The sequence below is a fragment of the Homo sapiens genome, chromosome 18, assembly GCF_000001405.40.
Source record: "Homo sapiens chromosome 18, GRCh38.p14 Primary Assembly".
In the NCBI taxonomy this organism is placed as follows: Eukaryota; Metazoa; Chordata; class Mammalia; order Primates; family Hominidae; genus Homo; species Homo sapiens.
In genome coordinates, this window is record NC_000018.10 from 2,715,181 (window position 1) to 2,736,615 (window position 21,435).

A 21,435-nucleotide genomic window follows, 5' to 3' on the forward strand; every position below is an offset into this window, starting at 1 on the left:
TCCTCAAATAGGTTTTCTAAAGTTTTTGCTTTTTCTTTTCCCTTGGGAATACCTGGGATTTGTTGGTTTGGCTGTTTTACATTGACCCATACTTCGAGAAGGCTTTGATCATTTTTTACAATTCTTTTTTCTTTATTTTGTCTGATTGATTAATTCAACAGATTTATCTTCACATTTTGAGATTCTCCTGCTTGGTCTAGTCCATTGTTTGCTTTCAACCATATCTTGTAATTCCTTCCATGAATTTTTTTATTACAGAAGTTCTTTTTTAAAAAAACAAAAAACTATGCCTTTGGTAAATTTCTCATTCATATCCTGAATTTCATTTTCTCACTACTTTATATTAGTTTTCAGCTATCTCCTGTATCTCATAGAGCTTCTTTAAAAATCAGTATTTTAGCTGGGCTTGGTGGCTGATGCCTATAATCCCAGGAGGCTGAAGTGGGAAGATAGCTTGATGCCAGGAGTTCAAGACCATCCTGGACAACACAGTGAGACACTCTCTAAAAAAATTTTTTTTTAATTTAAGAAGTGGGCATGGTAATATATACCTGTAGTCCCAGCAACTTAGGAGGCTGAGGTGGGAGGATCACTTGAGCCCATGAGACTGCAGTGAGCTATGATTGTGCCGCTGAAATTCACCCAGGGCAACAGAGCAAGACCACATCTCAAGAAAATAAAATAATCAGTATTTTGAATTTTTTATTTGATATTTCAAAGATTTCTTTTTGGTTAGGATCCATCGTTAGAGAATTACCATGTTGCTTTGGAACTGTCATAGCACCTTATTTTTTAATATTTTCTGTATTGTCCTGATTTCCTTTGTATCCGTAGTAGTAGTTGCTTATTTTTAGTTTTGAATTTACATTTGTTGGGGCAGGACTTATTTTTTCCTTGATGATGTGTCTATGATGTATGTTTAATAGATTCTTGTGGCTTTGCTTCTTGGGTGTATTCAGTGACATAGATTATCTATGATTTCCTTGTTTATAAATAGCCTTAGTGTGGTGGCTTTCTCCAGTGCTGGCTGTTGTAGTAATGTATCAGGCGGGTGAGCAGTCTCAGGGCCTCCTGTGTAGCTGCAGTGGTATGGACAATTGTGGTAGTAGAGGTGGTGCAGAGCTTGTCTCCTTCCTGAGCACTGCACAATTGTTTTAGCAGATGTTTTAATGGGCTGTGAAGGTTGGCCTCCTGTCCGGTATGTGGTGCTAGAAGGTAAGAGCTGGATGCAGCTGTTGTGGTAGCATTTATGGGTTACCTTTGTTAACCAGAAGTACTCTGATGTCCTAGATGATGGGCTGGACTGTGTAACTTCCAGGGGTCCCAGTCCTGTACTCTGCCCCTGAGGCAGGTAGGGAGGGCAAAGCTAGGCAGGGCTGGGCTGGAGAATCCTGCATTCTGGCCACCCCAACAGGGCACAAGCACCAGCCCTTGCAGGGGTTGCAAGGCAGTTCTCAGGCCCCGAAGGAATGCTCCAGGGAGGAGCAGAGCAACCACTGCCATGCCAAAGATCCAGCATGGGGAAAGTGGGGTCGCTAGGGCTCCACAACCTGGCAGGTGATAGTGGGACCCGGTTCTCTACAGTTTTGACCTGGTTGGATTCCCTCCTACCATCTGCTGCTGGCAGCAAGCTGAAACAGCCAGCCAAGTCACAGGCAGTCTGTCCTCAGATTGTGAATCTGTCTCAGGCTGCAAAACGTCCTGCCAGGGACAAAAACCAGGCTCCAGGCCATACCCCTCCCAGTCTGGCTCTGCAAAGCAGGGGCACCCAATTCTCATACCCATGGCTGGGGCCCATATTACACTTGCCTCTCAATTCTGGTTGTGGAGGCTGCTCTCCTCAATATTAGATCACAAATCTTAGTCTGGAGACTCTCCATACCAGTGAGTGCCACCTATGCTGGCTGGCAGGTTTCTGTGCAGCCCGCTGTGACTTAGGATCGGGAATGGCTGCCTTCTATTTGTACCACCCAGGTCTGGGAGTATGGGTGGAGCACTTCCCACTGTTCCCAATGCTCTCCAAGTCAGATCCAGTGCTTGGTAGGGCCAAGGAGCTCCCAGCTGGCTTCAGTTGCTCTCTTCCCTTCTCACACAGAGGATTCACTCCCAGTTTTTCATGGGACATGCAGTGCTGTTGCCCACTGTAGTGTTCAAAGTATCCAAAGTTTCTTTTGCTTTTTTTTTGAGACAAGGTCTTACTCTGTTGCCCAGACTGGTACCTTCATAGCTCGCTGTGGCCTTGACCTCCTGGGCTCAAGTAGTCCTCCCATCTCATCCTCTCAGGTAGCTGGGACTGCTTAGCCGGACCATGCCTGGCTAATTTTTAAATATTTGTAGAGACAAGCCATCACTATATGGCCCAGGCTGGTCTCAAATTCTTGGCCTCAGCCTTCCAAAGTGCTGCGATTACAGGCATGAGCCACCACGCTGGGCCTGTTATGCTTTTATGTTGAGCTCCTGTGTTCCTTCTTAGATAGAAGTTCACAGTGTGAATGCACTATTGTACTGTTTCCAAGTGGGTAAGGTTGACTGCTTTTCTCTCTCTTTCTCCCTCTTTTTGGTCTGTGTGGTCATGTTACCTACTTGATAAACATTTCGGATTTGTTCATGAATTGCCTTTTTAAAAATTTTGTTTTTTTTAATATTTACATTATATAATTCTAGAGTGGGCAATAAATAAGGAATTTTTTGGAGAGGTCATGTTATTTGTCTTCTGTTGTCTTCCTTTCTCTTTAAATAGTAATTTTAAATAAAGTGAAAGAGTTTATAAGACTTGAAATAAAGAGATTTTAATGAATTGAAGAGTTAACTATTATTATTGCTGTTCACTTTCATAGGATAGTGTTAGATCTTTTGAAGCTTCAAAGCAGGTTTTAAAATACAGCAAATAGGTATTTGGTGCCAATGTGACATTGCGTATTTCATGTTTTACGTTGAATTTCTCAAGACACTATTGTTTCTTTTTTCTTTTATTAAGCTTCAAGTGGAAATAAAGAGATTATTTCGCATATTAGTCAACATGGAGGAAAATGGCCTTACTGGTTTAAAAAAATGGGTGAGTTCTTATTCTGAATGTTAAAAAATACATTGGTATTGTGTTGACTTGATTTTTAATTTCTTCTTAATTTATCCAGAAAATATTCAGAAGTTGGGGAATTATACCTTGAAATTACAAGTTGTGTTGAATGAAAGTAATGCAGACACTTATGCAGGAAGACCACTACCATCTAAAGCAATTAAGTTTTCTGTTAAAGGTAAGCAAAACAGTAATATATAATTATATATGCTAAAGGTGGCATTTTAAATCCAAAGAGAAAAGAGAGATAAGCCATTAAAAGATGTTTGAACAATTGGGTAACCATCTCGATTTTATTTTATTTTCTTACTTACTTTGAGATGGGGTCTCATTCTGTCACCCAGGCTGGAGTGCAGTGGCACAATCTCGGCTCACTGCAACCTCCGCTTCCTGGGTTCAAGTGATTTTCCTGCCTCAGCCTCCCGAGTAGCTGGGATTACAGGCGCCCGCCACCACACCTGGCTTTTTGTATTTTTAGTAAAGACAAAGTTTCGCCATGTTGACTAGGCTGGTCTCGATCTCATAACTTCTGATGATCTACCTGCCTCAGCCTCCCAAAGTGCTGGGATTACAGATGTGAGCCACCGTGCCCGGCCCATTTTGATTTTCAAATAGCTTTGTAAGTCTACTCGATAATCATATTCCTTCTGAATTTTGAAGACATTGTTTTCTACTTTTCATTGTTGCTGGTAAAGTCTAAAGCTGTCCTGATTCCTGACCCTGGGCATATTGCCCCTCCTCCCCCAAAACGTTCTCTGTTCCCCAGTCCTCAAGTTTTAGGGGAATCCCAGTTTCTGAAATATTCAATTGTATGATTTAGCATAGGCCTGTTTTTATCTAGTATCATCCAGCCATGTACCTCGTATACCCTTTCAGTCTGGAAATCCCTGTTTTATTTTCTAGGAATTTTTCTTGAATCACTTTGATTTTCTATTTTCTTTTTCTCTCCTTTTCTTTTCTGTTCCTTTCCTTTCTTTTCTTTTCTTTTCCTCTCTCCTCTCCTCTCCTCTCTCCTCTCTCCCCTCTCCCCTCTCCCCTCTTTTCTTTTCTTTTCAATGGAGTCTCACACTGTTGGCCAGGCTGGAATACAGTGCAGTGGCATGATCTTGGCTGGCTGCAACCTCTGCCTCCCAGGTTCAAGCGATTCTTCTTGCCTCAGCCTCCCAAGTAGCTGAGATTACAGGTGCCCACCACCACACCTGGCTAATTTATTTGTATTTTTAGTAGAGATGGTGTTTCACTATGTTGGCCAGGCTGGTCTCGAACTTCTGACCTCATGATCTGCCCTCCTTGGCTTCCCAAAGTGTTGGGGTTACAGGTGTGAGCCACTGCACCTGGCCTTTTTTCTTTTTTGGAGATAGTGTCTTCCTCTGTTGCCCAGGCTGGAGTGCAGTGGTGTGACTGCAGTTCACTGCACCTAATTTTTTTTTTTTTGGGAGATGGAGTTTTGCTCTTGTTGCCCAGGCTGGAGTGCAATGGTGTGATCTCGGCTCACTGCAACCTCTGACTCCCAGTTTCAAGCGATTCTTCTGCCTCAGCCTCCCGGGTAGCTGGGATTACAGGCGTATGCCACCACGCCCGGCTAATTTTGTATTTTCAGTAGAGATGGGGTTTCTTCATGTTGGTGAGGCTGGTCTTGAACTTCTGACCTCAGGTCATCCGCCAGCCTCGGCCTCCCAAAGTGCTGGGATTACAGATGTTAGCCACCGCACGTGGCCCTGTCTAATTTTTAAAAAACATTTTTTTGTAGAGACAGGGTCTTGCTATGTTATGTTGCCCATTTCGGCCTCAAACACCTGGCCTCAAGCCATCTTCCTGCCTCGGCCTCCCAAAGTGCTGGGATTACAGGCTTGAGCCACTGTGCCCAACCTGTTCTTTCTTTCTAAAATATCTAATGTTAGGATGTTGGATTTCAGGATTGGTATATTATTTTTGTTTTTCCTACTTTCCATCTCTTGGTTTTGTTTTTACTACCTTATTGGAGATTTTCTTAACAGCTTGATGTTCTATGCTTTCTATTTTTTCCTTTTTGCTACCATTTTTAGTTTCTAAAATCTCTTTTAAAATAATCTTGTTAAACAATTCCTTAAGCATTCTCTTCCTACTTCATGAATTCAGTATCTTTATTCTCTGAGGATATTAATAATAGTGGGGGTTTTTCTTACAGCGTTTTTCCTGATTCATAGTTTGTTTCCTCCATGTTGTTTTTTTATTAGATATTCTGTTATATAATTAGTGATTTGCTAACATTGAAGAATAGGGCACTTGAAAATTTCCTTGGGGTAATTATGATATGAGAATTTTTAGGTCTTGTCTCTTTGGCTATTCAGATTCCCCGGAGTGGAGCCTTTCAGTCACCTGCTAAAAGGGTACAAGACCTAGCTGCCAGCATTTTGGGAACCAAGCTGAGAAAGACCATTTATGTTTGTAGGGGGGCGGTCCTCATATTTAGTATATAATTTTCCACGTGATTTTCCTATTTTCAATAAACACTTTCCTATTTTCAGTGACACTTTTACATTTAATTGATTAGATTTTAAAATACAGACAGGGTCTCACTATGTTACCCATGCTGGCCTTGAACTCCTGGGCTCAAGCTATCCTGCTTTCTTGGCCTCCCAAAGTGCTGAGATTACAGGTTTGAGCCACCACGCCTGGTCAGTGACACTTTTAGTAGTGCTGTGTCTCTCACTTCTAGACCTTTTCTTCTTTCCCTGAAGAATAAACCTTCCATCTTTTGCTGGGGATGAGGAGGGTCGTTGACTAGCACATGCATTGAAGGATGGGGATCTGTGAAACTGTTTCTCAAACTGACTTCAGCCAACCTTCTTGTTTTATTTCAATTTCACTACAACTTTATACAGCCATTCCTGAGACTTATGGGCGTCTGATAACGGTGAATCAGATTCAGTCTCTGCTTGCTTTGTTGTTTGAGTATTTGATGTTCTTGGGTCTTTCTGCTAAGTCAGTTACACTTACTCATATGTTCTTTGGCTTTCCAATTCTATTACTCTCATCTTTTTTCTTGTTTACTGCTTTTGTAGAGTCATTGTTACAGGGTTTTTGGAGAGAACTGATCTAGGTAGCTGTGATATCAAGAAGGCCCACCTTGGAGTGTGGTTTTCTTTTTTTTTAAATGTTTTAGGAGACTTTTTTATACATAAATCTACTGTGTTCTTTTAACACCTGTGGAACATATTTTCATAAGATGGGCGTGCTGTAGTTTAAGCAGTTTCCTGTTGATGAATCGTGTTGATTGTTTCCAAGTTTTTGGCTATTAGAAACCGTAGTGCTTTTTGGGGAAAAAAAAATTATGCTGCTTTCTGTACGTATGTTAGAATCTCTTTAGGGTGATACCAAGAAGTGGACATCCCAAAAGGCTATGCCATGGTACCTTCACTTCTCACTATGAGAGTTCCAATTGACTGCATGCTCATTCCTGGCTGAACTATATATTCATTTAGCATAGTTGGTGGTGAAACTGCTTCTCTAATTTTTAGATTGTGTACCTCTTCTAGCCATTATTGGACATTGTATGCCAATGCTTGTTCATTTACTATGCCCATTTTAATAGTTTAAAGCTGTGGTTCTCAAATTTGAGTTTGTATCAGAATCACCTGAAAGGAAACACAGCTTGCTGAATTTCACCCTGAGTTTCTGATTCAGCAGGTTTGAGATAGGCCCTAGAATTTGCATTTCTAATAAGTTCTCAGGGGATGCTAAAACTTCAGGACTAGAGACCACACTTTGAGAACAGCCAATTTATAGGAGGGCTTCATGTAGTCTGAATTTTCCTTGTTACACATGTTGCAAATATTTTCTCATGTCGAGCTTCTATTTAACTTCATCATATATATCATTTTATAACTATTGAATATCGTGTTTTGCCTTTAAAGCTCTTTCCTATGAAAAGGTATAATGGCTGGGCATGGTGGCTCACGCCTGGGGAGGCAGGTAGATAGCTGGAGCTCAGGTGTTCAAGACCAGTGTGGGCAACATGATGAGACCCTGCCGCTACAAAAAATACAAAAATTAGCCAGGTGTGGTGGTACACACCTGTAGTCCCAGCTACTCAGGAGGTTTTTCCCAAGTGGATTGTCTGCATAACATATAATTTTTGCGCTGATTTTAAAATGTTATTTTTAGCATAGTCTAAAATAGATTTCTAAAATTTCTCAGATAGAAATGGATCTGTTTTTGACCCCCAATGGCTTTTCTGACCAATGTACTTGCTTTTCATTTCATTTTTGTTTTTGTTAAAGAGGGTAAGCCAGAGAAATTTTCATTTGGTCTTCTGGATCTTCCTTTTCGTGTTGGAGTTCCATTTAATATCCCTCTGGAGTTTCAGGATGAATTTGGTCATACCAGTCAACTAGTAACTGATATTCAGCCAGTTCTTGAAGCAAGGTAATTTGAAGGATCAATATGTATTTGTCCTTTGATATTTGCTAAGCATTTACTCTTTTTTTCAGCTTCATTTTTTTTGTGTGTAAGGTGTTCAACTTTAATTATTTAAAATATTAGTGAATTTTATTATATCTGGGTAATTTAGCTCCAAGCTATCCTCTGTGACTAGTGTCATATATAAATTGCTTCACTAAAGTTTATGTTTTGACTGGATTTATTGCTGAAGTTGTTAAGGTGTTTATGTCTTACTCTATGTTCTTTTGCAAGTATGATATAATGTCTCTTAACAATTCATTATTTGAAATACTTCATTCTGTGTCTTCTGTCATCACTGTTTTCTCTTTTAGCGTTCTTAGTTATTGGATGTTGGACCTTCTGGATTTAATCCCCAATTTTTAAAAAAATGTTCTCAATCTTTTTGTTTCTGTTTTACTTTCTGATAAATTTTCTCGACCTTATGATTACTACCTTTCCATTGAATTTTTCCTTTCTGCTAACATATTTTTAGTTGCTGTGAGTTCTTTCTGGTTCTCTGAAATTTTTTAAAGACCCTCTTGTTTTGTGAATGTAATACCGTTTTCACTGATAAAGCAAATGGTTAGGGTTTTTTTAAAAGCTTTCTTTTACCTCTACAGATACTCTGTTGTCTCTAGCTTAGTCAGTTGCTTGTTCTTGGTCTCTAGAGATATCTGGTTATTGGTCATCTGCTTGTAAATGAGTAGGAGACTGGAATGCAGGTGAAAGAGTGTGGAGAGGCTGTTGCCTGTGAGCTCCACTGTGGGATGATCTGTCTGGAGTACATTGTTGGGGGAAATCCTGTTGTCAGTATTTTTAGGTCTTGGGCTGGGCAGTTTCCTCAAAGAAGAATCTTCAGTCTTTTGCCTAGAGCAGGGAATAGTTTGGTTCCAAGTGAGTCAAAGAACAGGGCTGGGGTGGGAATTGGGGAGGAGAGGTCTCAGTATCCATATGCATTCGTTCCAGATAACCTCTTCTCTTCTTTTTAGTATTTCATTCTCATCCTCAGCTTATCTGCTGTCCCTGGTTCAGAGATCTTCTGTTTTAACCTTTTCAGAGATTCATCTTTCACTCATCTGCCAGAGGCAGAGAGGAGAGATCTGGAGATCTGAGATCTAAACTTTTCATCAGTCTTTTTGCTTGTTTGTTTAAACCTTTTCCTTTTGCCAATTCTGAACAGTACCTGGGCACTCGATGGTAGAGATTGGTTTCTAGCTTTTTCTATTTGTGTTTTACGATTCAGCTTTTTGGAGACTGCTATCATTTGCCACTTGCTGTCCTGTTTTCTAGCAGATAAGTTTGGTTGCCCTGTCTCTGCTTCCTTTCCGTTTTTTCTTTATGTTTTCCTTTAATAATAAAATACATCCCTTTACTGTCATATTAGTGGGATTTTAAGAGACAGTGAAAGTAGGTGTATATGTTTAATGTGCCATCTTTCCCAGGGGATTTATTTTATCTTGTATGCCACATTGCATCTTTTTTCAAATGAGCTTTACAGTTTATTCTGAAAATACCTGTAAACACTTAAATTCCATTCCTCAGAAAAATTAGGCTTTTCTCCATCATGGTATATTTTTTACTTTTTTTCCCTTTCTTTACCTTTCACAGAGTAAAATTTTGCCACTGCAAAGATCTACATCTGGTCAAATCTGATGAAATTAGCTTTGGAATCAGCTTTAGGAACCATATTACTCATGGAAGTAGATTAGGTGATGTCTTCGGTTTATGTCATCATAAGCCTGTCTGTTATTATTTGGACTTTATCTAAATTGCCATTCAGTTTAATAACAGATGCCCAGAATTCTCTAAAATCCCACTGGTGAAAGATTTGAAAGAATTCATGGTAAATGCTGAGGACATCCTTAAACCTGGCTTCTTTAGGTATTTATTTCCTTTCCTTAGGCTTGTATACATGGTCTAGCATTAGATTAGGTACTACATTGTATCTTTACTAATTCAATATGTGCTATTTTAATTTTACATTATATGTATTATATCATTTTCAGTGTTTAACCCATTGGTATCACTTATTAATACTTGTTGGATCAATTTTCTTTGTAAAAGAAATCCATTGGAATTTTTTTCTGTTTAGTTTTTTATATTTAAAAAATATTTTATTAGAAAACTAGACATGCCAATGTCACATAGGAAAGCAAAAACACATTTGCAGCTTACTTGTAGGCAATTGAGGGGAGTTAAAAAATAATTTTTTTTCCCCAGTGGTTTATCTTTACATTATGAAGAAATAACCAAAGGACCAAATTGTGTAATTCGAGGTGTTACAGCCAAGGGCCCTGTAAACTCTTGTCAAGGCAAGGTAAGCATTATGTATAGATCCTATGATACTTGTTAAGTATTTATTTATCATATGGTAAGAATGAAATTGTAAATGAAAAGTGGAATGACCTATTTTTAAAAAACAGATGACAGTAATTGGGTTCTTAGGAATTTATCAGCATTATGCCACCTGACTTATCAGTTACATCTGTAAGAAAAGTTGGCACATTTACTACTGTTGTTGATTAAACATGAATTAAATATTTTTCACCTCTCCCCGTTATCTATACTTCAGTTTTTTCACATTCAAAGCCATTTTTTCGACATAGTTATCTAGGACTCTGCTGTTTTTTTTTTTTCTCTCTCCTACTGTTTCTGTCCACTTTTGAATATTTTTCTTAGAACAAAAATGACAATTAGAAATATGAGAAATTTCAGCTCACATCTTTAAACATATCACTTTGGTATTTAGATAAAAGGAAGTGTTTGGTGAGAGATACAGTTAAGGAAGGAATCCTATGCATAGTTTGTTGGTCTAAAAAAAACAGGGAAGCTAAAGATAGAAACTCTAATAAGGTAATTTTTCAGTTAGGTCTATAAAGCAGCTAATAGACTTAACTGACTAAAAGGAACACTGTAGCAAGTTTTTTTTCAGTGTATCATTACTTTAAATATTTAAAAATTTTCCCTATCCGTGTGATGTTTAAAACAGAGCATGTGTATTTTTTTCAAGTACTATATGCTGCTTTGTATAATCAAGTCAAAAATTGAGTTCTTGATTCTTTCTGAATTCAGATTTTTCTGGAAAAAGAACTTGAAATTCACAGAAAATTTGACTTTAGTAAGATAAACTTACTAAAAATTTCTAGATTTTAAAAACCTTTTTATTTTGAAATAACTTTAGAGGAAATTACTTACAAAGGAGTTCGAAGATAGTATAGAGAGGTTACATGTAGAAAGTTCCTCTGTTAATGTCTTACAGAGCTTTATATATTTATCCACACATTGACAAAATACTACTGACAAAACCGTGGACTTTTTTTTACTTGTCTCCAGTTAATTTATTTTTCTGTTCCATGAACCAATATGGAGTACCACATTGCATTTCAAAATTTTCTGGTTTTTGTTTCTTTCTACTTTACTATTTCATATGTTTTATAATATCTATCTTGATTATGATAATTATTCAGAGGTTATGCCTTTTGAGAATAAAAATTTAAGAGAAAAATTGATCCTAAAATGATATTCCTATTTTGGAAAAGTAGATTCTACCATAATTCTCTTCCTTTCACTGTCTATAAGGAAGCAGTATTGATCAGTTTTTTTCCTCTAAGATTTCTGACTCCATATATGATAATTTTAGTAAGTATAAAGTTGGTAAGTAATTTCTACAATGGTATGAAAATAAAACCAAAATATAAATCAGAATTGATGTGATAAACTACTTAAGTATGTATTCAGGACTGGGTTTAATTTTTACTGTTTTTTTCCAACAGAATTATAATCTGAAGGTTACTCTGCCTGGCTTAAAAGAAGACTCACAGATTTTGAAAATTAGATTACTACCTGGTAATATTATTTCAAGAAATATAATTATTTAAAATAATTTTCTTATGTTAAAGTATAATGATATGAAGTTAGAGGTTTTTGGGCTTTTAGTAGTGGTGTAAATCTTGAAAATACACTTAAATGTCAAACCATAGCACTGACAGAAATGACCAGTTTTTAAAAAGGAAAACATTTAGGAAGATGTTATTGACATTCTGAATATAACCTTGGGAGAAAAATTTGGATATTGAAAATGTTTGGGGAACTGTTTCTTGGAATATGTCTATTAGGCTTTATTAGAGATGGGTCTGTTCTTTACATTTTGTTGATAAAACTGTTTCATATTTTAAGAAGAAAAACTTCTAATGTTATTTTTATTAAGTTAACTTGATAATGACTTAACCTGAGAAAATGAAGTTGCATTAAAGTTACGTAGGGTAGAATATGCTGGCTAATTTGAGAGGTAGTCTATGGTAGAGATTTTAAGTACATTCTGGAGTCAGCCCTTCTGGGTTAGTATCTAGGTAAACTCGTTCTATGCCTCAGTTTCTTCATGTGTAAAATGAGATAATATCTACTCCCTTGGGGTTGTTAGGAGGATTAAATGAGTTACTACAGGTAGTCCTTGCCTTGCACAGTTCTGTAGTACTCAATGGAGGACACAGTTCCAATATGCGTGAGTTTTCATTAACACCTACTGTACCAAGTAAGAACTGCCTGCACCTGTAAAACACAACAGTGTTTAGCATGTAAGTTTTAACTCTCATATGAAAGATACCACAACCATATCTGTGTGCATATGTGACCTTTTTACTGGTTTTAAGCAAAAAGAAACATATTAGCTATTTGCTTTCACAAATTGAAGTTGTTTGACATTTCCCTCCAGTGTGAATTGTTGAAAGAATTTAGGTAGGTCCATTGGTGGAAGTATAAGAAAAAAATCATACGTATCAACAAACATTCATTTATTTGAGAGATTAGATTATTAAAAGTATGGATTTGAGTAGTACAATTCTTAGTAGCTAGATAGTTCTTTTTGTGGGGTAAATAGGAAGTATCATGGTGTAGTGATAAAAGTCAAGGAGTTTCAAATTGCAAACCAGAATTTAAACCTATGTTTGCTACTTACTAGCCTTGTGACCTGGACAAAATACTTAATTTCTCTGAATCCCAGTTTCCTTACCTGTAAAATGGGGATGATGATAATAGTAACGTCTTCATTAAGATTATTGTGAAGTTTACGTAAGAATAGTGCTTAAAAAAACTTAGCACAGTGCTTCATATATAGTAAATGAATGAATATAACTAATATTAGTACAAAATAAAATATTTTAAGTAATTCTCTCCATATACTTGTTATCAGTATGTAGCATTAATTGAATTTTAAAATATCAGTGTTTATGAACGAATCAGACTGGCTTACTGTAGAAGTATAAGCCTACTTTTCTTAATCTTAAAGGAAATTTGTGATGTTAATTGCTTATGACATCAGAGGTAGTGGGCAATCTAACAAGTAAATGACCTGATCATGTCATTACAAGAACTAATTCTTTGAATGTCTAAAACATATAGTTACTTGTGCCAGAAAAATCATCAGGTAAGATTGGTAAATAGTTTTAATAAGCTGTTATTTTTGTTTTTGAATACCTTTTTCCCAGTATCTTTTAAAGATTTTAGGTGATTTCTAATATGAATTATCACTGTGTTGTACCTTGTGGAATAAAACTTAGCCTAGACACCAAGCATTTTATACAATTGAGATAAGTCTTGTCATGTATTGAATCTGTGCATTTTGGGATGAAACTGATTAAGCATGGACATTGCCTATATTTTTCTTTCTTGGCAATATTTATAAAATATTAAGTCTTTAATGTTAAAGTTATTTCTTTTGCTATTTCAGTACTTTAGTCTTTGAAACCTGAATATGTATTTCATTGTATAATTTACTGTTAGGTCACCCTCGTCGACTGAAAGTGAAACCTGATTCTGAAATTTTAGTTATAGAAAATGGAACAGCTTTCCCATTTCAGGTGGAAGTTTTAGATGAATCAGACAACATAACAGCACAACCAAAATTGATTGTTCATTGTAAGGTAAGCTTATTGGAAGATATTTAGATTGAGTCCCATTGTAGTAAGTGGCAATGACTATTTTAGCCACTTAATAGTAAGTCTTACACAGGATTTAAGTCTGAAACGATTATTCCGTGGAAGGATTTGTGGGATCTTATTGCCAATAGTTTTTTTTTTTTAATCGTACCTAAACCAATAAAGATGCCAACTGTGCCCAGTTTCATAAATTTGTGAATAAAAGTTTACTCACCTCTCCTCTCTTGACTCCATGCCTCTCATTTCATATATATGAATAGAAAGACAAAAATGTCTTTCAGGATTGGGAATGGGCTGCTCTGCCTATGGAGTAGCCATTCTTTATTCCTTTACTTTAGGGAAAAAAAAAAAAAGGGAATGATGACTAAATGAAGGTAGGTAAAAGACCGCAGAAAGAAAAAGAAAATCCAGTTAAGTAAAAAAGAAAAGGATTGTAATTGAGGAAGTTAGTTCTTTCCTTCCAAAACAGATAAATTTTACATAGTATAGTAGAAAATTACTGTTTTTGTTCAGTATTCTAGAGTTTTAGTGACTTTTACTTAGAATTTTCTTATTCATTGCCAGAAATAGTAGCTCTACTGAATTATTTGAAACTTTGAACAATTACGGAAGAATCAAATATATTTAATAGGGGTCTTACATTATTTTTCATCTTTCAAATAGTTTTCAGGTGCTCCAAACCTTCCAGTCTATGTTGTAGATTGCAGTAGTTCTGGAACCAGTATTTTAACAGGATCTGCAATTCAAGTTCAGAATATTAAAAAAGACCAGACGCTTAAAGCAAGAATTGAAATACCTGTAAGTTATTATTGTTACTCATTGATATTATATTGAGTCTTCATACAAATAGTCTTCAACTGCTTAATAACATTTTTTGCAAAATTGTTAACTTCTGAAAATGAGGTATTTGTGGTTCTTTCAGCCAAAGCAAAGCAAAGACAATATGAAATGCTGTAATGACTATTTTAACATTTTGTGTCAAATATTAGTAATTGTCTTGATTTTTACAGTGTCTTTTATAGTGTCTATAACTATTATTGATTTACATTTCCCTAAAATATTTTTCTTCTATTAAAATACATAATTTTATTCTTTCGCTTTTTTTTTTTTTTAAAGAGATAGGGTCTCACTCTGTTGTCTAGGCTGGAGTGCAGTGGCACAATCATGACTTGCTGCAGCCTCCAACTCCTAAGCTCTAGTGATGTGCTCACCTCAGCCTCCCAAGTAACTGGGACTATAGACAAGGACCAATGCACCTGGTTATTTATTTATTATTTATTTTTTGAAAAAGAGGGTCTTGCTGTGTTGCCCAGTCTGATCTCAACTTCCTGTCCACAAGCAGTCTTCCCACCTTGGCCACCCAAAGTGCTGAAGTTATAGGTGTGCACCACTGTGCCCAGCCATTTTGCTTTTTATCGTTCTCATTTGTTTTAGAAAGCTTGGTAAATATCTCTGTTTAAACCACCATGGAAGGACATATAAACCTTTAATTTTTGTATGTAATTTTCTATACACACATAGCTTTTTATTTGTGTTTTTACACAAAGGGATTTTTTTTATTTCTATTTATATTTTTTGAGATGGAATCTTGCTCTGTTGCCCAGGCTGGAGTACAGTGGCACGATCTCAGCTCACTGCAAGCTCTGCCTCCTGGGTTCACGCCATTCCCCTGCCTCAGCCTCCCCAGTAGCTGGGACTACAGGCACCCGCCACCACGCCTGACTGATTTTTTGTATTTTTAGTAGAGATGGGGTTTCACCGTGTTAGCCAGGATGGTCTCGACCTCCTGAGCTCGTGATCCACCCACCTCGGCCTCCCAAAGTGCTGGGATTACAGGCGTGAGCCACCGTGCCTGGCCCACAAAGGGATTTCTATATCATGTGCCAGTAGGATGCTTTTTATTGGTGATTCATCGTGGCTGATAGCAAAGCCAACATGGAGGCAAGAGCTGTAAACAATCTAAGGTTGTGGAGTGGGATAACAAATACTTAAGTAAAACTTCAAAGGTTGCTGAGTAGGGTAACAGATACTTAAGTAAAATACTTAAATGTGATTTCTTAGTAATTGATATGGTGATAGATAATCTAATTGGTTGATTAACTCATACTTTCCTACTAATTATACATCAGTTATTAACATAGCTTGAACCTCAAATGGATACAAGATGTCTTTTACTTTTTAAATTAGAATGAGATGACTCTTCATTCCAGTTCTTTTTAAGCTTGTTATATTTGATAAGCTTAAAGTATTTTTTATGCATTTTCTTTATGCAATAATATGGGCAACATACTTTTGAGCACACTTTCTTGCAAAAGATGACTATGAATTAGGGAGGAATCTGGACTTGGAGGCAAGAGCAGCAGGCATTAGGACTTTTGTAAATACTACAGACCACTCAGGAGAAGACCAAGAATTCAGGTCAGTTAAAACAAATGCCAACGTAAATCCTCTAATAGGCAGTTACAAAATGTTATCCAATGGCAATAACTGAGTTTAGGAGTAAGGCAAGTAAGATACAACAGAAGATGGTTATGTGCCTGACATTCCATGAGGTAGGAATTTTTAATATCACTCACGTGGATAGGCTTCCATAAGTTAAATGGCTGCAACTGGATGAGGAAGGAGACATGAGTTAAGTAAGATTATAAAGGTATTTTATGTTTAAACTTATTTTAAATTTAGTGTGTGCTGTTGAATGGACTATAACTAGATTATGAAATAATGTAATATTTTAATTTTGTGTGCCTAAAATCAATTTATATAGCATAATCTTGGTCTTTTCTTTGATCTGTAGAACACTGGTATGCCAATAATAAATTGTAAATATGCCAATATGTTGACCAGTTGTCTTCAGGGCATCTAGAGGCCTTCTCTGGCTATAAACAACCTTGATCACTTACCCCAATGTGTTATGAATTGAAAAAATACTGAAAGCCTTAATGTAATCTGTTACCATTAAATAATGTATTTTATGGTAGCTGTTTGTCTCTGATTTTATGGAAAGTTCTTAATTTCTTACATCTTTGTTCTTATTCATAAATACTAACAGAGTATGTAACATAATTAAAATTTCACAAGATGGCAATACTTTTAAAGAAACTTGGAAATAAGAGGAAGGGACCGGGCGCAGTGGCTGATGCCTGTAATCCCAGCACTTTGGAAGACCGAGGCCAGTGGATCACCTGAGGTCAGGAGTTTGAGACCAGCCTGGCCAACGTGGTGAAACCCATCTCTGCTGAAAATACAAAAATTATCCATGCATGGTGGTAGGCGCCTGTAATCCCAGCTACTCTGGAGGCTGAGGCAGGAGAGTAGTTTGAACCCAGAAGGCAGAGGTTGCAGTGAGCCAAGATCATGCCACTGCCCTCCAGCCTAGGAGGCAAAGTGAGACTCTGTCTCAAAAAAAATAAAAAGGAGGGGAATCCTTTTAGTCCACATACAATTGTTTTTATTTTAAGAATGTGGCCACTGCCATTTATAACCTGATGGTATAAAATACGGAATTATTAATAGTATAATGCCATCTTAATGACAAAACCTGTGAGTATAACAATGTATGAGATGGTCTTCCATAATATTGAAAGTAAATTCTTCAGGAGTGTAAAATTTCAGTACAGATATCACTCAGTGTTTGTGTTTTCTTCTCTTTCTAGAGTTGTAAAGATGTGGCACCTGTGGAGAAGACTATTAAGTTGCTTCCCAGTAGCCATGTTGCAAGACTACAAATATTCAGTGTAGAAGGACAAAAGGCAATTCAGATCAAACATCAGGATGAGGTTAATTGGATAGCGGGTGATATTATGCATAATCTTATTTTTCAAATGTATGATGAAGGAGAAAGAGAAATCAATATAACATCAGCTTTAGCAGAAAAAATTAAAGTAAGTATCTCTAACAGATTGGTTATTTGTAAGAACTTTTTAAATTTTATGTTTGTAAGACTGAACAAGCCGTTTTATGGGTAGCATCTAAAAAAGAAGCTTGTCACAGAAAAGTTATACTATCATTTCAAATTGTAAGCAGAATAAGCTTTTTTCATGGAATAGGTTGAAATGCAAATGATTCATATGTGACAAAATTATACTTAGAAAAATGATTTTGACACTTAAAAATCTAGGTTTTGGCATTTTGTTTAGTTGTGCTCTTCCTGACTAGCTGTTTTTCTGCAATCATAATCAACATCACCACCTTGATAAAGCTAGCAATAAATTGGTAGCAGTTCTGAAAGCACTAAACAAAAGATCTGTTAAAGGCAAGCAGTGAAACAGTGTTGTTAACTACAGAGCCTCTATTTGGCCATTGGAAATTATTGAAATTGGTATACCACTCTAAAAATATGATCCTTAGAAAAGAGTTTTGTTGGTCCTCATCAACCTGCTGTCATCTAAATATGACATTTGTACCTTGATAGGGTTGAGTCTGCATGTTGAAACTTAACACCTCACTGAACAGGGAGCCAAATCAAAATGTTAAGTCTTATTACATAAAGTAGACAGCTTTTTAGCATTCCTTTGATGGTTGACTGAAAGAATAGTGGACAGTCTATGCTTGCTTCTTTCAAAGTTCAGTTTGTTCTTCTATAATGAGACACATGCATTCTCCAGAATCACTCTGCTGTGCAAAATTGTACAATAAAAAATCACAGGGCTTATGAGGGAAAATGGAAACTAGAGGCACAATACTCAAACTTTCTCAGTAACCCGTTAAGAGAACCTAATAAAATAGTGGCAAAAACAATAATGATAATACATGTTAAATGTTAAGAAATACATAAATACTATAATAATATGGGAGGTTACCTAGCTTGATGAAGCAATGATTGCAGCTTTTGAGTTCCTGTGAAGTGGTGGAAGGAAGGTTATCTGAAAGTGAGGGGAAAGTTGTTTTAACAGTCTGTGGATGAGCGTGGCTCATTAACACATAGTCAACTGAGGTGACTGATAGGTGTTTGAGGTGCAACATTTGTTGTGTTCCCACTTGGTTCAGCTGGGTACAGTTTTCTATGTTGACCTAGTTTTTTCATAGATGAAATTGTACCTAAGCAAAAGTAAAATTTGCCTTATGCTTAAATTGTTTACTGATAGTTGTATTGGAACAAATTTGCATTTTCAAAGTAAACGTAATTGTACTGGAACAAATTTACATTTTCAAAGTAAGCATTGTAACAGAACTTACTGTACTTTTTTCCCTTGATGTCTATGGAGATAAAATTCCCAAGTGTGGAAAAATAATTTATCAAAATTCCAGGCTTTTGAGGTAGTTAGAAATAAGCATTCCTCCATGTCTGGAGAGCTGACATTCATAGACTCTTAGTACGGAGTCCCAATTAGCCAAATTTTTGGAGAGTTAACATGTTTGGCACTATGTAGGAGTTGCTCTTCCATACCGGTATACACCATACCCATCTTGTGTTTCCAAACATAAGATCTGGTAATTCAAAAGGATTATTTAGCCACGGGTTCAACTGACCTGAGTTTTAAAATCTTATTTGGAACAATGCTTGTTCTAGCCAGCTTTTTTTCCCCTTCATAATGAGGGAAGAGAGAATTGAGATAGAAATAATTCTGATTCTGCTTGGAAAGGAGGTAAGCCATTTTTATCTCTATAAGCAGATTTGAAGGTAAGTAGTGGTTTAATAGTGGTGCCAGGGATGTGGCTTCTGAACTATTTCCTTGCTTTCTCACAATCATGCTTCCATTTCCTCCTCTCTTAAGAAGTTTAAGAAAAACCGACTGGAGAGCCTCTCCCTATCATACCTTCTCTAAGGTTGTTGCCTGCATTTGACACATTTTGCCTCTAATTTGGTAATTATGTATGTCTGTGCACTTCTTCATTGACAGTAAAAGATAGTGAGTACTCCATTTTACTTAAGTTGAATGTACAGCCTTTACAGTGGTTTTGTAGTGTTGAGAGAATTAAGCCAAGATACAAGGAAGTCAGCCTGAACTGAGCTGGGGAATCTATTGAGGGGAGTACGCAGCCAGGGTGAGTGAGGAAAGCCTTTTATCTTTTTTGTGGAACTCTTGCTTGCTTATTTTCCTTTTTTTTTTTTAATACAATAAAGAACAGAGACTAAAGATGGTTTTAAAAGATAAAAAGGTAACTAAAAACATTAGAGGAGCATAAACTAGGAAACAGAATATTAGTGATTTTCATTAAAAAGTTAATTCACCACGGGCCAGGCGTGGTGGCTCACACCTGTAATCCTAGCACTTTGGGAGGATGAGGCAGGTGGATCACGAGGTCAAGAGTTCAAGACCAGCCTGGCCAAGATGGTGAAACCCCATCTCTACTAGAAAAATACAAAAATTTAGCCAGGCATGGTGGCGGGCACCTGTGATCCCAGCTACTCAGGAGGCTGAGAGAGAGAATTGCTTGAACCCGAGAGTCAGAGGTTGCAGTGAGCCAAGATTGCGCCACTGCACTCCAGCCTGGGAGACAGAGCAAGACTCATCTCAAAAAAAAAAAGTTAATTCACCACGAACAAGTAGGCTTTATTTTTGAGATTCAGGGTTGAACCAACCCTGAATATACGCAAATAAAGTGTGATTCACCACATAAACAAAATTAAAACCGTATGATTTAATATGGTTTCAGTAGACGCAGAAAATGCTTTTGATAAAATCCAACATCCCTTAGTGATAAAAGCCATCACTGGACATTGAAGAACACACCTCAAGATAATGAGAACCATCCATGACAAACCCACAGCCAACATAATATTGAACAGGCAAAAACCGGAACCATTCTCCTTGAGAACTGGAACAAGACAAGGATGCCTGCTCTCACCAATTCTATTCAACTATTGGAAGTTCTACCCAGAGCAATCAGGCAAGAGAAAAATAAAAGGTGTCCAAATAGGAAAAGAAGTCAAACTGTCTCATCATTGTGGAGATGATTCTATACCTAGAAAACACTAAAGACTCTGGCAAAATCCTCCTGGAGCTGATAAACGACTTCAGTAGGGTTTCAGAATGCAAAATCAGTATACAAAAACCAGTAGCATTTCTGTACTACGTTTTAAGCTGAAAGCCAAATCAGTAACACAGTCCCATTTACGGTAGCCACAAAAAACACAAAATGCCTAGGAATACATCTAACCAAGGAAGTGAAAGATCTCTGCAAGGAGAACTGCAAAACACTACTGAAAGAAATCATAGATGATACCTAAAAAAGGGAAAAACATTTCATGCTCCTGAGTCAGAAGAACTAGTACTGCCCAAAGCAATCTACAGATTCAGTGTTGTTCCTATCAAACTACTGTCATTTTTCACAGAATTGGAAAAAAGCTATTCTAAAATTCAGATGGAACTAAAAAAGAGCTCAAATAGCCAAAGTGATTAATCCTAAGCAAAAATAACAAAATGAGAGGCATCACACTACCCATCTTCAAACTGTTCTGCAGAGCTACAGTAACCAAAACAGCATGCTACTGGTACAAAAACAAACACATAGACCAGTGGAGGAGGTTAGAGAGCCCAGAAATAAAACTGTACACATACAGCTATCTGATCTTTGACAAAGGCGACAATAACAAGCAATGGGAAAGGACTCCCTATTCAATAAATGGTGCCGGGATAACTGGCTAGCCATATGCAGAAGAATGAAAGTGGATCCCTACCTTTTACCATATACAAAAATTAACTCAGGATGGATTAAAGACTTAAATGTAAAACTTCAAACCATAAAAATTCTAGAAGAAAACCTAGGAAATAGCCATTCTGGATGTCGGCCCTGGCAAAGAATTTATGACCAAGTCCCCAAAAGCAGTTACAACACAAACAAAAATTGACAAGTGGGACCTAATCAAACTAAACAGCTGCACAGCAAAAGAAACTACCAACAGTGTAAACAGACAGCCTACAGAATGGTAAAAAATATTAACAAGCTATATATTCTAAAAAGGTCTAATAACCAGAATCTATAAGGAACTTTAACAAGCAAAAAACAACCCCATTTAAAAAATGGGCAAAGGATATGAATAGATAACTTGTTAAGAGAAGA

At 36.9% G+C, this 21,435-nt stretch overlaps 1 protein-coding gene across 10 annotated transcripts in view, besides 1 other annotated feature; it reads left to right on the forward strand.

Moving 5' to 3' along the window:
* SMCHD1 (structural maintenance of chromosomes flexible hinge domain containing 1) overlaps positions 1–21,435 on the forward strand; it is a 149,292-nt gene that overhangs the window by 59,455 nt on the left and 68,402 nt on the right. For all 10 annotated transcript variants that reach the window (XR_001753172.2, XR_935055.3, XR_007066135.1 and 7 more), the window contains 8 exons: positions 2,978–3,055; positions 3,135–3,254; positions 7,339–7,483; positions 9,719–9,815; positions 11,272–11,344; positions 13,277–13,416; positions 14,095–14,229; positions 17,085–17,312. Coding sequence is in view for 7 of the 10 variants with exons in the window: in XM_011525642.2 (XP_011523944.1) it covers positions 2,978–3,055; positions 3,135–3,254; positions 7,339–7,483; positions 9,719–9,815; positions 11,272–11,344; positions 13,277–13,416; positions 14,095–14,229; positions 17,085–17,312 (1,016 nt within the window). In the remaining 3 variants the exon portion in view is untranslated. The remainder of the gene's footprint in view (positions 1–2,977; positions 3,056–3,134; positions 3,255–7,338; positions 7,484–9,718; positions 9,816–11,271; positions 11,345–13,276; positions 13,417–14,094; positions 14,230–17,084; positions 17,313–21,435) is intronic.
* Positions 1,559–2,059: an enhancer, noted in NCBI's record as "H3K4me1 hESC enhancer chr18:2716737-2717237 (GRCh37/hg19 assembly coordinates)". NCBI's record gives its function as "activates a minimal SCP1, AML or CMV promoter by ChIP-STARR-seq in primed H9 embryonic stem cells {active_cell/tissue: H9 hESC(primed)}" and the evidence as "EXISTENCE:reporter gene assay evidence [ECO:0000049][PMID:30033119]".